The 17904-nt window shown below is 43.5% G+C and overlaps 1 long non-coding RNA gene across 1 annotated transcript, besides 2 other annotated features; it reads left to right on the forward strand.

Moving 5' to 3' along the window:
* The first annotated feature begins 5933 nt into the window (after positions 1-5933).
* LOC105371642 (uncharacterized) lies at positions 5934-14511 on the forward strand. Its single transcript, XR_922341.3, has 3 exons — positions 5934-6073; positions 11114-11215; positions 13374-14511. It is a non-coding gene; the product is annotated as an uncharacterized LOC105371642 (long non-coding RNA).
* Positions 16757-17051: an enhancer, noted in NCBI's record as "tiled region #10342; HepG2 Activating DNase matched - State 5:Enh". NCBI's record gives its function as "activates a minimal TATA promoter and a strong SV40 promoter by Sharpr-MPRA in HepG2 cells {active_cell/tissue: HepG2}" and the evidence as "EXISTENCE:reporter gene assay evidence [ECO:0000049][PMID:27701403]".
* Positions 16757-17051: a silencer, noted in NCBI's record as "tiled region #10342; K562 Repressive non-DNase unmatched - State 21:Repr". NCBI's record gives its function as "represses a minimal TATA promoter and a strong SV40 promoter by Sharpr-MPRA in K562 cells {active_cell/tissue: K562}" and the evidence as "EXISTENCE:reporter gene assay evidence [ECO:0000049][PMID:27701403]".

Genomic DNA, 17904 nt, shown 5'->3' on the forward strand with positions numbered 1-17904 from the left:
CTAGTTTTTACTAATTCTTTTAGATGTTAATTCATTGATTTCCTCTCCCAATCATTGTTATTGTGAATTTTGATTCTCTGTACATTTTAAACTCCCCATACTTTGTACTACCGTTTTGTATGGTTGATATTTATTTAGACTCAACCACATATTTATTCTTGACTTGCTTTTCATTCTTCCCTTGATCTCCAACTTGCTAACTGAAATACTTTTTTGTTTTGTCTGAAGAACTTTTTAATGTTTTCTTCAGTTATGAGTCTGCTGGTGACAATTTCCTTGGTTTTTGTTTTAATGCAGTTTTTCTTACAAATTCTTGGCTGGGTCCTGTGGCTTACGCCTGTAATCCTACACTTTGGGAGGCTGAGGCAGGAGGATTGCTTGAGCCCAGGAGTTTGAGACCAGCCTGAGCAATATAGTGTGACCCCATCCAATACAAAAATACAAAAATTAGCCAGGTGTGTTGGTGTGCACCTATAGTCTCAGACACTTGGGAGGCTGAGGTGACCCAGGAGTCAGAGGTTGCAGTGAGCCGAGATTGTGCCACTGCCTTCCAGCCTGGGCAACAGAGAGACACCCTGTCTGAAAACAAAATGAAATCAAATAACTTAAAAAAATCTTCATTCTTGATAGATTTTTAAATTCTTATCATAACATTTTAGATGGGCAGCTATTTTATTTCAGCCTTTTAAAGATGTAATTTCACTGCCTCTTGGCTTCCACTGTTGAGAAGTCAGCTCTAAGTCTTACTGTTGCTCTTTTGAGAGTAATCTGTCCCTTTTTCTCTAGTTGTATTTGAGTTTGAAAATTTCTCAGCCACTACTTCTTCAGATATTGCTTCCATTATTTCCTCCTTTTATTTGCCTGCTGATACTCTAACTACACATATACTAGATCTTCCCACTATATCTTCTACACCTCTTACCATCTCTTGTAGACTTTCCATCCTTTTCCTCTTCATGCTTTATTCTATGATTGTCTTCTGACCTATCTTCCACTTCACAAATTTTCTCTTCAGTTGGGTCTCAACAATTGCTAAAGTTATTCATTGAGTTCTTAATTTTGACTACTATATTTTTTAATTCTAGAACTTCTTTTTGTTTCTTTTATATAGTTTCTAGTTTGCTAAGTCCTTAATCATTTATTTTCTTGAAAAAATAACAGCACATGTTATATACTTCTGTTCACCTCTATGGATATATCTTCACTCTCTCCACTCTGCTGCCTCTCCAGGAACCTGATCTGCATGGACTGTATCAATTAACTTTCTTGTCCTCTGGCTTCTAGCTGTGTTTGGCTAAAGTAAAGTACCAGTAGGACCACAGGGAAGGAGGAGAGTGAGATTCGGTACTGATTTACCTGATCTCTTCCTGTGGGGTCACTGTGGGCTGGCCACATTCCCTGACCATAGACTCTCTGTCTCTAGATTCTGATAGTTCCTCCCTCCCTGTAACTCTTCAAGCCTACAGGTGGTAAAGCCTCCTCATTGTTCATAGCCCCAGAGTATTGGACCCCATCTCTCCCCATCACAACCCATACTTTTGAAAATTATTCCTTTATTAAGGAATAATATTATCCCTCATATTATCATAGTTTGATGGTTCCATCTGTGTCTGGTTGGAAATCTGACTGACACAACATGTTTATATTATAAAATGTTTTTGGTTATTTAAATAATCAGACTCTATGTGGATCTGTAAGACTTCATGTGGATCTATTTCTACTGTCCTTGTTTCTGCTATTTTATTAGTCATATTTTCCTGTTTCATGTGGCTATTTTTTTATTTTTTTAATTTTTATGTATTTACTTTTTTTGAGATGGGGTTGAGAATGGCTAATTTTTGTATTTTTGGTGGAGATGGGGTGTTGCTATGTTGCCCAGGCTGGTCTCAAACTCCTAACCTCAAGTGATTCACCCACCTTGGCCTCCCAAAGTGCTGGGATTACAGGCATGAGCCACCGTACCTGCCCTCATGTGGCTATATTTAAATTATGTGCTAATAATTGTACGTGCAGAATTGCTTATAGAAATGTATTCTTCATTGAGAAAGGACTTACATTTGCTTTTGCCAGGCAGTTGAGATTATTGTAAACTGAAGTGTCTAGGAAGCCTTATGTAGTTCAAGTTCATTCTTCTTCAGTATCTCAACTTGAAATGGGGAGATTTACCAGCAACTCTCCTCATCTTGGCAGGCCCTAGAATATAATCCATTCCCTTAATTTAGCCTCTTACCCTTTCTCCAACCCCTCATGAATTGCCAAATGCTCCCAGGATAGAGCAGCCTTATCTTCCAATTTACCTTTTTAAGCCTCCAAATTGGTTCAGTAATTATATTCTCTCTCTTGTTGGTTCTCATTTTTTTTAAAAAAAAAAAAGTTTCTGGTTATCTTCAACAGGAAAATTGCTCTGAATTAATTTTCCTTCTTCAAACTTGGCTAGTCTAACTAATTTATCTAGGGTGATGCATCTAGAATAGCTCAGATAAGCCTAGCCATAAATCCTGTACTCTTTTGTTTAACACTAAACCATCTTTAGCCTCAACTGAAAAAACTGATTGTTTAAAATTGAACCCGAATTTTGCACTGCTAGCTACAAAAGTCAAAATAATTTAATATGCAAATGTGAGTCTCTTAAGGATGTTCTCCATATCTCATTTGCTTTTATATCCTTAGCACTTAGCATAGTATGTATTCAGACAGTATTTGTAAGTAAAAGAAAGAATAAGTAAAAGGATGAAATACATAAAATTCAAATGAAGATAGTTTCTATATGGATTATATTTCTCAACCTAAATTAATCCTCATCTAGTATATCAGGTGTCTTCCTTGTTCAATTTTCCTTTTCAAGATAAAATTTTTAAATGGTATAAGTGGAACACGTCTATAAATTCCAGGCTTCCATTCTCTGCTCCCCTATCCCAAATATTACAAGAGATTATCAAGATCAAGACTAGCCTAGTTTCTTTCTAGGAGTCCCTAGGACTGGGGAAGACTATCGGATGGTGGTCCAGTGCCAAATACTAGAAGGACCTATTCCTGTCAATCCAGCTTCAACATGCCTCAAACTGGACTCAGCATCATCTCCTTTTCCCTTACTAATTTATTCTCCTTCTCTGTGTTTACTACCGTATCTGGTGTCACTGCATCATCCTCCCAGTTGCCTGTACCAGAATCCTAGGGGTTATCTCTTATTGCATCCTATCCAAATCACCAAGCTTGGTGAGTCAGTGTCTACATATTTCTCACATTTGCCCCACCCCGAATATCTCTACTGTGACTGCTCTAATGTGAGTTCTCATCACTATTCACCTGGAGGTCAGCATTGGCCTTTTAACTGGTCTCACCTTTATCCTCTCTGGACCATCCCCACAGAGAGATCAAACACTGACACAACATTGCCTAAAGCCCTTTGGTGCTTTCCTACTGTCCACAGACAGTCTAAGCTCCTTGCCACAGTTGGTAAACTCTCCATAATCTGGCCCTTACCTATCTCTCAAACCTCCTTTTCCACTGTTCACCTTTGTGAGGTCCGTGGTCTAAAACTGCCAAACATATTACGTACACTTCCAAGTATTCCTGCTGTTCCTTCTGCATGAATTTCTCTTCCCTTACTTCTCCCCCTATTTAAAACTTTACTTATTCTTCAAGAATCACCTTCTGCCTCTTGAGTCTAGTCCAAGTGGCCCTTCCACATGCTCCTATGGCAAAGTGTCATCAAAACACATAATTAGCCTGTAATCTCAGCACTTTGGGATGCCAAGGCAGGCAGATCACTTGAGGTCAGGAGTTCAAGACCAGCCTGATCAACATGGTAAGACCCTATCTCTACAAAAAATACAAAAATTAGCCAGATGTGGTGGTGCATGCCCACAATCCCAGCTACTTGGGAGGCTGAAGCAGGAGAATAGCTTGAACCCGGGAGGTGGAGGTTGCAGTGAGCCAAGATCTTGCCACTGCACTCCAGCCTGGATGACAGAGCAAGGCTCCGTCTAAAACAAACAAACAAACAAAACAAGACCACCCCACATAATCAGTTTTTTATGACTGTCACCCTCACCTATCTGTAAGAAACTTGAAGCACTCCAGCTTAATGGTGGCATTTAATAGGCCCTTAGTAACAGTTTGAAAAACTAAATTGAATAATAATCATTAAGATTAATCAAAATTAGAATTTATATTGTCTAGGTGTCTTAGTCATTTCGATGGGTGGGGTTTATTTTGTTGTTCCTTGAGTGTATTTTTCTCTTAATTTTAAATAATATCTATAACTATGAATATTATATTTTAAAGATCCATTATATTTTCTAGCTTATAAATGGGTGATTATCATATTATTTTCAAAGCTTTTTTTTTTTTTAAACACAGCAAGATAGGCACGTTGATACTGAGCTCTCGTTTGCTCATTTTGGGGCCCTCACATATTTTGACATTTTTTTCATCTTCTCCATCAAAAGAGACTCAGTGTTCTGTAGGATGGTGCTCCATTTGTTAATATATTATCGTTATTAATATGTTACCTTCCTTCCTAGTGGGATTGGAACGTACATTGTTTTATGCCTTTATTCATTCCTCATCCTAACCAATTCCTTATATTTATGTCATGGAACCATCTCCCTGGTACCTCAGAGTAAAACTCTTCTCTCAGCAGAAATGATAAGTTCCCTAGTTGGTTATTTCAGTTGCTGGAGCAGTAGCTAGTGAGGGTCTCTGCCCCCTGCGATTAATCCAGACGATCGCTATCAACTTTCTCACCTTTGCTCTAAAAACCCCAGCTTCCCTTAGCTTTATAACAATAATGGTGATGCCTATTGCCAGTGATTTGAAGAAGCGACCCAGGGAAGAAGGGAGTGAATGCTTTTTACAAATGACTGGTTCTCCATTTGGTTTTATTGCTTATTCTCTTACAACTTATAACCCCCAAAAGGCAAAAGAAAAGTTCATTAGTTCAGTGTCTGACAGCTCAGAAACGAGTAACCCAACACATTTGTGTCCCCTCCATTGATTTAACCCTTGTCGTAAGTTGAATTTTCAAATAATGTCCACAGCTATATTTCTAGTCTCACATATTGTTCTGGAACCTTGCCACCTCCATCTGCAATAAGAAATGAAGTCCATCTCCCCTTCGCTTTGTGACTGCTTCAATGGGTATAGTGTCATGGAAATGATACTGAATAACTTCTAAAGTTAGGTTATGAAAGGCAACCTGGCCAGGCATGGTGGCTCATGCCTGTAATCCCAGCACTTTGGGAGGCCAAGGCGGGTGGATCACTTGAGCTCAGGAGATGGAAACCAGCCTGGGCAACATGGCAAAACCCTGTCTCTACTAAACATACAAAAATTAGCTGGGCGTAGCCAGGCGTGGTGACTCACGCCTGTAATCCCAGCACTTTGGGAGGCCGAGGCGGGCGGATCACAAGGTCGGGAGATCGAGACCATCCTGGCTAACATGATGAAACCCCGTCTCTACTAAAAATACAAAAAATTAGCTGGGCGCAGTGGCAGGCGCCTGTAGTCCCAGCTACTCGGGAGGCTGAGGCAGGAAAATAGTGTGAACCCGGGAGGCGGAGCTTGCAGTGTGCCGAGATCGCGCCACTGCACTCTAGCCTAGGTGACAGAGCAAGACTCCGTCTCAAAAAAAAAAAAAAAAAAAAAAATTAGCTGGGCTTGGTGGCACATGCCTGTAGTCCCAGCCACTTGGGAGGCTGAGGTGGGAGGATTGCTTGAGCCCAGGAGGCAGAGGTTACATTGAGCCAAGATTGTGCCACTGCACTCCAGCCTGGATAATAGAGTGAAAATGTGTGGCGGGGAGCGGGGGCGGGGAGGCAACCCACACCTTGGGAACACTGAGCTGCTCTTTATGATGATATCCAATTACCCTGAAGCTGCATGTTGGAAAGGTCATGTGGAGATATCATGTAGAGGGAGAGAGAGGCCCAATGAACCCCAGCTATTTTAGCTCTCATTTTTGCATCTTCCCAGTGAACTGACAGACAAAGGCTGGGAGCTGGAAACTTCTGAAGGCTCATTCACTTGCATGTCTGTCATGAAGCTTCAGGGCAGCTCCAGCTGATGCCAGGTGAGCAAAGATGAGCTATTTTCTCTATACCCTGCCAAAACTGCAGATTTGTGTGTGAAACAAATGCTGTTTTAAGCCACTACATTTTTGGAGGGGTTCTTATGCAGGAATATGTAATGAGAACACCCCTAATGACCTGAGCTCAAACCAGAAGTATTATTTAATCCCTTTTCTGTAAAAAAGTAGAAATTTAGGTTCTTGATGTGCTCTTTATGGCAGACAGAAATGACAAGTCAGAGTGTTTTAAACTCTTTGTTTCCAGGCTACTGGGTGAATATAACACAGGAGATATTTATTCAGGGCCTCTGGGAAGCTAGAGAAAGAAAGAATAATTAAAGTGGTCCAGAAGGAAGAGAAGCATGTGACAGGCTATGCCTGGTACCTCCAGACCAGAGGGTAAGGGATGACCATTCCTTTCTTGTACATGTGTATCACATTCCTGATTTTCCAAAAACGGTATTCACCACCCCCAGAGAAGAACGCGAAAGTCCTGCTTTTCAGAGTGCATGATTCTTTCCACAGAGAAAGAAGATTCCCCCCTCCCTTCCTCTCCTCTCCTTGCTACTTACTATATTTCTAGCGCTCGTGCCTCCATGATTAGAAGACAGGTGGATGACTGTCCATGGTGCTGCCCTCTGCTTACTGCACCAGACCATGTTTTGTTCCTTCACAGGAACCCACATCCACAGGCTCTGTGACTTACAAAGACAAAGGCATCCTAGATGCCTACATGATCTAGAATGTGTCACTAGGTCTTGTACATTTGTTGCAGATGGGATATAAAGAACGTCTAAAAGGGAAGACCACCCTTTGTTCTTTTCTTTACTCCAGTACCTTACCTTTCCTCCTCTATCTCTTTCCTTCACCCCATGCCCTCTCCCTACAGGCCTCTTTTATTGCTGTGCCAGATCGTTAAGTGGAGGTAGAAAGTGGATGGCAGTGGCAGGGTCCTGAGGGTCCAGAGGATAGGACTATGCTTCACAGTTATCCAGGTGGCAGCTGTGGTGAGGGCTGACAGAGATGCTCCATCTGAAGCCAGACCTGCATACCAATCCAGCCTCTGATGTTTGATTGCTGTGTGAGTGAAGCAGTCACTGAGTCACATTTTTTCTCATCTGTAGACAGACAACTCAGGCAGAGCAATGTGATGAGGATTAAGTGGGGTGCTGTATTAGAATCTTGTAAACTACAAAACATTCGGCTAATGAAGGGTTACTTCCTTCTATGGGGGCCCCAAAAAGAGATTAAAAAGTGGTAAAAGGATGAGTCCAAGGAACTACTGAAGGCTGCAGCAATGATGGGACCGATGAGGAGGGAGAAGTCCCCAGAGGCAGAGGAAATCTGGACCAGAGTCCTAGCCAGCTGGGTCTCATGGAGCTAACCTAGCAGAGAGAGAAAGAGGCTCACCTGGAGTTGGGCGGATGCCCAAAAGAAGGCGGCAGGCAAGGCTCAGAGCTGAAAGGGAGGAACAATTGTAATAATAGCAGCCATGTGCCAAGCCCTGGCCAAATGCCAGCCACTGTGCAAGGCTTACATGCTCATTTAATTCTCACAACAACTCTGAGGCACGTGTTACTATCCTCATTTTACACAGTGGAGAATGAGGTTCTGATAGGCCCAAGAAATTTCTAAAAATCTCACGGCCAGGAAATGGCAAAATCTGGATTCAAATCTAGGGTTTTCTATTTATTTATTTATTTATCTTGAGATGGAGTCATGTTCTGTCACCCAGGCTGGAGTGCAATGGCGTGATCTCGGGTCACTGCAACCTCCACCTCCCAGGTTCAAGCAATTCTTTTGCCTCAGCCTCCCAAGTAGTTGGAATTATGGGTGCCTGCCACCATGCCCAATTAATTTTTTTATTTTTAGTAGAGTTGGGGTTTTGCCCTGTTGATCAGGCTGGTCTCCGACTCCTGACCTCAGGTGATCCACCCGCCTCAGCCTCCCAATGTGCTGGGATTATAGGCATGAGCCACTGCGCCCAGTCCAAATCTAGGGTTTTCTTACACCTAACTAAGCCAAAGTTAGCAAGCTTGAGATAAGATTTTTGGGTTTTGTTTGGGTTTTTTTCATGATTTCTTTTCAAGACAGAGTTTCACTCTTGTCACCCAGGCTGGAGTGCAATGGCACAATCTCAGCTCACTGCAACCTCCACCTCCTGGGTTCAAGCGATTCTCCTGCCTCAGTCTCCCAAGTACCTGGGATTACAGGTGCCCACCACCATGTTCAACTAATTTTTGTATTTTTAGTAGAGACGGGTTTTCACTATGTTGGCCACGCTGGTCTCAAACTCCTGACCTCAGGTGATTCACCCTCCTTGGCCTCCCAAAGTGCTGGGATTACAGGTGTGAGCCATTGTGCTCGGCCGATTTTTTTTTTTTTTTAATAACAAAGAGAAGCATCAGATCAGAAGAACCTAATGTGAGGCAGACTCCAAAGCCAAGGGATCAAAGAACAGGGTGAGCAAAACAAGAGAGGGTAGGGGGACAAGTCAGAAAGGGGTCTGTGCGAGCACCAGAAACATGCACATACCCTCTTCCCTGTGGAGTGGCTCATGGGTGGGCCAGGCACTTTTAAAGAGCTGGGAACAGAGCAATCTTCTGCAGCCTGTTCTCATGTGAGGACCAGAAAAGTTTCCGCGTGGGTCTCCCTGTGCTCGTGTTCCCATCTCGTCATTGTAATTGATAGCATTAGTGCATGGTATCAACCAGCATTTGCCAATGTTTGTTCTGTGGGACCTTAGTTCTGCAGGGTTAATAGATACAACTTGGAATGAAGATTCAGTTAAATTCACTTCAGTTTAACACACTTAGTGAATACCCACAAACAGAGCTATGAAGTGTGTATTCGACCATGAACAATAGGTGAAGTCTCTGTTTTCATGGAGCTTGTAGACCAGATGTTCAGTAAGTTTGGAAAATGTTACGCCACAGTGATATCGGTTTCTTTACTGCAAACATTTCAGGGTCTTATTATGCTAATAATCATTGTGACTTTATAAGAGTGGGGTAGAGTATATAGCGTTCCCCCATGATATCTATCCATGGAATCCTATTTTACTTGTTGTAAAGTCTCTTCTTGTGGCTCCCAGGCTAGTGTTCTTTTTTCTTTCTTTTTTTTTTTTTTGAGATGGAGTTTTGCTCTTGTCACCCAGTGGAGTGCAATGGTGCAATCTCAGCTCACTGCAACCTCTGCCTCTTGGGTTCAAGCAATCCTCCAGCCTCAGTCTCCCTAATAGCTGGAATTACATGCACCCACCACCACGCCTGGCAAATTTTTTTATTTTTAGTAGAGACGGGGTTTCACCATGTTGGTCAGGCTGGTCTCGAACTCCTGACCTCAGGTGATCCTGCCTCGGCCTCCCAGAGTGCTGGGATTACAGACATGAGCCACTGCGCCCAGCCCAGGGCTAGTATTCTACAGAACAAGCTTGCAGGGGATGCTAGGGCAGACAGAGAATGATACACACCCCTTCACCTCCCTTCATTTTACCACAATACTGGTAGTGTGGCCAAAAGGAATGATGGGGAACACATAAGCCCAGAACATGGCAGCCAGGTGACACAACTATGGGGGTAAGGGTGCCATTCATGGATGCCAAGTGATGGCTGCCTCTCAACACTGAGCCTGATGAAGAGTCAAGACTACCTGGAAATCGCCACAGGTGAGCCCACGGAAGGTGTGTGCTTCTCTGAACAGGATTGAGAAGCTCACTGGGCCAAAGATATAGCAGGAGAAGGAGAAACAGAAAGTGGAGCCTTGGGAGAGGGAAAGTCCTTTGCTCCTAGGCCATAAGAGAGGGGGAGGATTTTCTGTCACAGTCCTGTGGGAGGACCTAGGTGGCAGCTGCCCTGGCGTAGGGGAACTGCATATCCTGTCTTATAGATATAAAGAGAAGTGCTCCTGGAGCCAGCGTGGGGCTTTGTATGCCAGCAATCAAAGTTTATCACTCAGGCAAACAAGCCAGAGGAAAAGAGCTGACAAATGGCTAGCATTTCCCCCGCTTTCTTCTCCAGGAAGACGTTTTGGTCTTGGTTTCCCTCTGGGTTTTTCCTCTCTCTGATCTCTCTTGCCCTCACGCAGTGTTCCCTGCCCAGGCATTACATAACAGCCTGGACTGCAGGGAACACCTATACAAGAGGCCATGACAGTTAGACAATGGGCAGGCACAGGCTGCCCTGAGAAAATGGAGTCATTCATGAGCTGTGTGAGAGGCGGCTCTGTTCCCAGCTTGGCTCACTGGTAAATGAAGTGCGCTGGGGACAAAGAGGGAAACTTTACACTCTAGCAATTTTCCCACAGTGGCAGGCTCACAGAAAAACAAGGCACTAGTTGGCTTAGAGGAGAAAAGGCAACCATATCCATAGACTTTGCTTTCTCCCCCAGATTGCCGTCTTGTGCCAAAACCACAGAATAAACTCCCAGGGAGGGAACAGCAAGGCTATACTCGCTCTGGGTCTCAAACGACAGAAGCCAGAGAAAAGATGTGGGTCTGCCTTCGGCTTCTGTTTCCATGGCTGCTTGATGGGTTTTCATTTCTGATCAGCTCACATTTGACCTCTGATCTAGGTCACCACCTTAGAGGGAAGGAATGTTTTCAGTCGAGATGATCATCCTGAGATAAATAATAACGGCTCCCCCTATCGCAGCTGCTCAGCAGGGTCGGGGAGCACCTTCCTCTAACACAGCCGGCTGGCTCGCCTGATCTTAGGGGCTCTTCAGCCCACACTGCTTAGGGCTGTGTGTGGAGTCACACCTGGAGAATACTTTGCTGTGGGGCCCAGGGCCTCTTTGGGTGGGAATCTATGCTGCAGCTGCAGGTATAGTGCTGTCCTATAGACCATAAGGTGCTAAAAATTTAACCAAAAAGTTATTGAGTGTCTTATAGTGGGTGTTTTATATAAGACTAAATTTTATGTCAAGAAAATACCAAGGTTATTACAAATAATCTTATATGTTAAAAACAATTACCAAATCCCAGCAATGACCTACTTACCTATTTAAAGAAATACCAAGCTCTTATCCAACTTACCTATTTAGGGACTTCTGGAGTCCATTACAGAGCTACTCAACCCACGGCAGTAATCCTCCCTCTGAGAATACTACTGTAATCCTCAAGTGCAGAGTAGAGACTACTGTGCGGTAAGTATTATAAGGTATTAAGATACCTCTCTATCCACCCTGGAATCTTGCCTTCCTCCCCAGTCCTAGAGAGACCCACAGGATAATGAGGGAAGGGAATTAGGTGGTATAAAATGTTTCCTAAATGATAAATGGACGCCAATGCCATCCAGCCTGGAAATACATGTACATGTAAAATGGACCTGGGTTTGCCAGCTCAGCCTCATACAGGAAGACTCTATCCTTCTGAGCACCAAGCCTACAACATGAGTAAATGCCGGTTGCTTAGGAATACAGAGGTTAAATGCTCTGGGTCAGACAGATGGGCCTGGATCCTAATTTCAAAACTTAGTAGCTGTGTGACCTCAAAGGAGTTGCTTCACTTTTGCTGCCTCCACTGTATTGTCATAGTGGTCACAATATTTAGGAAGGTGGGCTAGGACAGACCAAGCATCTCTCCTGGGAGTGCTGAAGGAAGTGGACACCAGGGCGACCCCCTCTCTGGGGCCATTCTTAGCCAAGAGTCCCTGCCCACAGCACTGAATACCCTCATGAGACCAGTGGCCATTTTTTGAGGAGAATCCCCATTAACCTGGGAAAACTTCACAACAGACCAACATCATTTCCTGCATTGGGGCTTGGAAACCACTGCATGAAATAATTTATCTGTTACTGTTTAATCCTATACTGGCTTTAGTTATATTATTTATAGAGACACCTTTAAAGTTTTCTCCTTTATGCATCAGGTGTAGCTAGGCAACGTTCGCTACATCTACGTGCCTCCCCTAACTGTTTCCACTTCAGCATTTGAGGGAAGAATCAAAAGCCCTTGGGCTTGGAGATGCTCAGAGAATAGGCACGAGGCAATATTTTCTGAGCTCTCACCACATCCCGGGTACCATGCTAGACTTGTGTACCTATGGTACTCCCAACAGAGTGAGGCAGAGAGGTGATGCAGTGGGTTAGAGCCTAAGAATGGAGACTGGAAACCTATGGGAGCATGTGCTAACCAGGGTGGTGGTGACCAGAGAAGGCTTTCCAGAGGAAGAGATAGCCAAGCTGAGTCTTGATGAATAGCCAGGTGCAGGTGTGGTGGTGCACCCAGGCAGAAGGAGTACAGCAAGAAAGGACTTGGCCAGCCCAGAGAGCCTGCCTGTCTGATGTGTTGCAGTAGATCCACAGAGCTGCAGAATTGGAAGAGGTGGTGAGGGAGGAGGGGGAGAATAGGAAGGCAGGAGCCAGGTCTCCATAACGCTCCTAATTCCCTCTGGGACATCATCTGTCCCTCAACAATGCCTCTAATAGAGATATCTGCTGCTCTAAACATTTACTGATGCCTTAATCTTTCAAGCAGAATGGTAAAGAAGAAAAAGCCTGTGGGTACCTCCTCGCATGTGTTGTTTGTTTATTGTGAGACAAGGTCTAACTCTGTCACCCAGGCTGGAGTGCAGTGGCACCATCACGGCTCACTGCAGCCTTGACCTCCTGAACTCAAGCAATCCTCCTACCTCAGCCTCCTGAGTAGCTGGGACTACAGGCATGCACCACCACACCCAGCTAATTTTTGTATTTTTTGTGGAGATGGGGTCTTACCATGTTGCCCAGGCTGGGATTCCTCACATGTTTTCACATAAGTAGTCCCTATACTTGCCTTGTTCTTTCCAATTGAAGAGAATTCTTCAGGCAATTAATTTTATGCTTCCACAACGATGTCTCTTCTCCCCACTGCTCTTTGAAGCTGATCTTTGTTGGAAAAATTATTTTTCATCAAATTGATCTAGATTACTCATTGACTAGCTTGTTGACCATAGTTGCTTCTCAAAAAAAGCTCACCTGTTAAGCTTAACAATAGGTACCAGTATTGAACTAGTATTATATGCCTGGCATGATGCTGGGTGCTTCTGAAACATTTTCATTCAATACGCATAGCAAATTAATGAGGAAGACACTATGATCATTTCCCCTTACAGATGAGAAAAATAAAGCTTGATAAAATAACAGCTTATACGTGACAGAACTGGATTTTAATCTATTTGATTCCAAAATCACCACTCTTAGCCAATTCACTCCACTGCTATTATAAATTGTTTTTGAGAACAACTTAAAAGAAAGACATGTGGCTGTTGCTGCATGATGGACAACCAAGTTTTTTGACCAGAAAACATTTTGCCCCTTGCAGAAAGAACTCGGGAAAGCAGCAGGCAGTCTGGAATGGCAATGGGAAGATCCAAAGGCAGCAAAGGCTTCTCTCCGCCATGTGAAAGGCCTGAGTTTAGATACTTCAGGGAAGTTTTAATGCCAACCTTCTGTAAAATCCCCATTCTCTAATGTATGGCTTTAATTAACAATCATGTATCAATATTTGTTAATCATAACAAATGTACCATACTCCTGTGAGATGTTATCAACAGGAAAAATTGAAGGAGAGGTGCATGGAGCTCTGTACTATCCTTGCAATTTTTCTGTAAATCTAAAACTGTTGTAAAAAATAAAGTCAGGGGAGGAGCAAAAAGAAAAAACGTTTATTTTTTATTGAAAAGAAAAACCCTCATTCTCCACAGCCACATCCATATTTCAGAATTGTTCTTAGAAACTTCCAGAAACAATTCATTTACTGTATATAACATTATGGCCTAGATTAAACTGATCAGTAATTATTAATGCTTAACGTTAGTGCGGAAGCTCAAAAATTATATACTAGAGTGTTTGTGTAACTCTAAATCTTAAGATACATGTCAGTGATACCCGAAGCTTCTTTTTTTTTTTATTTTATAGAGAAAACATAATTGACAAAATGGTCACATACTTTTTAAACTTTGTTTTCGACATCTTTGGGAATTGTAACCATTGAACCCCATGTTCCTGATTCAAGCTCCTCTGTGCATCTCTTAAGAGTTGTTGAATTGAAGTCATAATGCCTGGGATGGAAGAAAAGGCTTCCAAGGGGCTGATCTCACAAATCAGCGGATAGGCTGACCAGTTACTCTGTTTGTTCTCAGGCATGTGAAAGCGTTCTCTGGTCCTAAACATCCTGTTCTAGTTGTGCCCCATTTGTTGAGGGGTTGAGGGTGGCATTGATGCAGTCTCCATGCTTTAACTAGGCTGCTATTACCTATTACCTGCCTGCCTCAGCTTCCAACTACCACCCAGGTTAAGAGGGCATGTCTGATGAAGAAACCACCTCCCTTAGTCAAGATGATTCAACTTCATTCTACTCTCATCCCCTTTCTCCAGGTGGAAATCTGAGGGTCTGAGGAGGAGACAGAGAGAGAAAGGGGACGCAAAAAGGCTCAATTCTCAGGCTTCTGTCCCAACAACATCAGTATTATCTTCATAAATTTAAAAAATATATAGCTTTATATTATATATAAAGTCATATATATAACTATATATAACTATAACTATATATATAACTATATATATAACTATATATATAACTATATATATAACTATATATATAACTATATATATATAAAACAATGTAGAAAGACTGGTCAACGTGAGTTTCATTATTATCCAGAAAGCCAGCAGGAGTTGGATGAGCTCATTCACAGAGACCACTGGGTTTTAGGAGCAGGGATTTTTATCCCTCTGGACTGGGAGAGTTGGGAAAAATGAAAGGATCCAAGCTTTACCAAATTCAGACTCACATTTTAGTTCCCAGCCAAAGGTCATGTTGAAGCACAGTGAGAAGCAGTTTCCCTGAGGAAGGGGGTTGGACTTGGAGGTTGGTTCCCCTATTTAGATTCAGACAATGGGAGGGAAGTTTATTACTTTTACAGCATGGTGACAATGCAATGCTTGGTAAAAAACAGTTCTCAGGACATTTAGAATTTGTTCTCTTTCCCTGCCATGTGCTTATGGGATGCTCCCATAAATCCCTTCTCTTATCTGGATACAGGGACCTATTGACTAGTCCTGCTAGGGATTGGGATCTGGAAAAAGCAATTTTTTTCTTTGGTTTGTGCATTTTTAAAATGCCTGTGCAAGGACTAAGAACCTGCTATTCATATTCCCAGGAAAAGATAACTGTATCAATTACTAGATACGGCACCTTGGTCATCAAGAGTGAGTCCAACGACTAGCAGGTGTCTTGGTTTGTGAGGCGCCCCCTCCAGCATTAATGGGAAAAGAGATGAGGGCCAGGGCTGGGTGTGTTGGCTGATGCCTGTAATCCCAGCACTTTGGGAGGCTGAGGCAGGGGGATCACAAGGTCAGGAGTTCGAGACCAGCCTGGCCAACAGGGTGAAACCTTGCCTCTTCTAAAAATACAAAAAAATAGCCGATGTGGTGGCATGCGCCTGTAATCCCAGCTACTCGGTGGGCTGAGGCAGAAGAATCGCTTCAACCTGGGAGGAGGAGGTTGCAGTGAGCGGAGATCGTGCCACTGCACTGCAGCCTGGGTGACTGAACAAGACTCTGTCAAAAAAAAAAAAAAAAAAAAGATGAGGGTCCAGAGATTCCAGTCTAATGCCTCACTCCTGGGTCGATCTCACCAAATAGCAAAGGGTTTCCTGTTCACCCTTTCCATACTGGAACAAGTGAGAGGTGGAGGATGGTGAATCATTTTCCAAAGCCAGAATTGGCCCTCTTGGAATCTTTGTGCATTTCTGATGGAATGTAGGAAAATTAAGGGAAATCGGGAGGCTCCAGGGATTTAGCATGGTTCGGGCCACAGCACAAGGTCCCATAGGCTCTGAAAGACTAAGCTATAGCTCCAATACAGGCGTTATCTGACTCCAAAGTTCAGGCCTCTTCTACTTGAGATCTGAGTCCCTCACACTGGAGCATGGTCAGTTAAGGCTGCAAAAGGGAGAGAGTAATGGAGGTCAGCGTTGAATAGATACGAATATAAACTCTTGGGCACTGTTAACGCCAAACAGCCTGACATCTTACTTCAGATATAACTGTAACAGTGTCCAAAATCCAATATTAGCATTTAAAACTTGTAGCACACTTATTGTGGAGTCATTGAGTGATGCAGAAAGAAAAAAAAATAAAGCCCTGAGAATTCAGCTCATTTACCCAAGTCACTGACGCATTTAAGGAACAGCTCTTATAAGTCCATTTAGGTGGTTTAGGGCTGCGGAAGATGCCCAGAATCCCTAAATAGAAATAAGTACTGGTCATCAGAGCAGTGCGGTTAGGCCCTTTCTGGCCAGGAGGTCATCTTGGGCTCCAGAGCCACTTGTTCAGCTCTGATATCTAAACAGCCAAAGTGAATTATTCACTTAGGAGGGTGAAAAACACTCAACTCCCTGGGATTGTCAAATGGAGTTTTCCATCATAAAATATCTTAGTCATTTGGAATCTAACCAAAGTAAACGCCTGGTCCTGACCCATCCATACCTCTGTGCTGGATGGGAAAGGAGAGAGGGAAATCCCAAAACAAATGGAAAAGCCACTTTGCCAGCCACAGAGCATGCATGGCCCTCCCTGGGCAGGTCTACTCCAGGTGAGACACGGTTTGAGCCAGGCTACAGGTGAGGAGCGGGTCACGGGAGGGCTCTAAATGGCATCTCTGTTTGATTCCAGGCCTGAGTGGGGCTGCGGCTTACATAACAGTTTGGCAGGGAGATGCAGCCAGGCGGAAGCACGCGGGTTTCCAGCAGCGTATAATCATCTTTGATTTCTCTGTTTGCTCAGCAGCTTTCATGTGGTGGGGGAGGCAGTAGTGCAGGAGGAGGGGCAGAATTCCGATACACTGCGGCCTTCTGTTTTCTTCTGCAAAACAAACAGCCCCAAACAGATCCCCATGGCCAGGGAATTAGCCACTGCCACAGAAGTCCCGTGGCAGTCTAGGGGAGGAGCTGCCCTGGAGCCTGGGTCAGGCCTAAGAAGGTCAGAGATTGACTTAAAGTTACGGTCTCGCTAGGTGCACAGGAGCCCAAAGGGCTACCGAGGAGCAGGGGTCTTGGATGCTGGCAGCACCTAACATGGTTTACCCTCTTGGCACTGAGGGCTGTGGTGTCCCCTTCTGATTACAGAGGTTACTGAATCCCATACTACGTCCATCCAGAAAGGCAGCTTGTCAGGTCTCTTTCCTACTAATCACTGCCTCCATACCAGGCTAATTCTGCTGGAATCCTGAGCATCTGGGAGCAACCAATTTAGAAAATAACATTTCCTTTGACTAAAATACAAATTTCTAGCTCCTTTTGATCCTAATCGGTTTGGAATTGAGTAGCAGCTGTTCCCCTTTAGAATGGGCTCATACTCACCACTTGCTGCGGTCTGCACTATTCCCTATTGTCTTACACCAGGAGATCTTTTCATTTAGTTACCCTGCTTGCCTGGCCCTTGCAGACATTTGTAAGATGAATTCCCTGCCCTATCCTAAGTATAATGATTTGATAGAATATAATTTGCTTACCTCTCTGATTCTCCCACTAGACTGTAAACTCTTTTGACAGAAGCACAAATTGGTCATTCATTTATTCATTCAACAATTATCTACGGCATGCCCACTTTGGACAGAGTGCTAAGTGCTAGTCATTGTGTTAGGAATATAGAATTTATCATGGGGGCCTTTAGTGCCTGGCACTTAGCACATGCCGTATACATGTGATTAGATTAAATGAATACATAAATAATTCTTCCAGCATGCAAACTGTTGATCTTGGCAGTGAGGTTCTGTTACCAATGTGTCCACCCTCTCAACCTTATGAATAGGTTTATTGACAGGATACATCTTGTTTTGCAAGTGATTT

The sequence above is a fragment of the Homo sapiens genome, chromosome 1 (genome assembly GCF_000001405.40).
Source record: "Homo sapiens chromosome 1, GRCh38.p14 Primary Assembly".
Classification (NCBI taxonomy): Eukaryota; Metazoa; Chordata; class Mammalia; order Primates; family Hominidae; genus Homo; species Homo sapiens.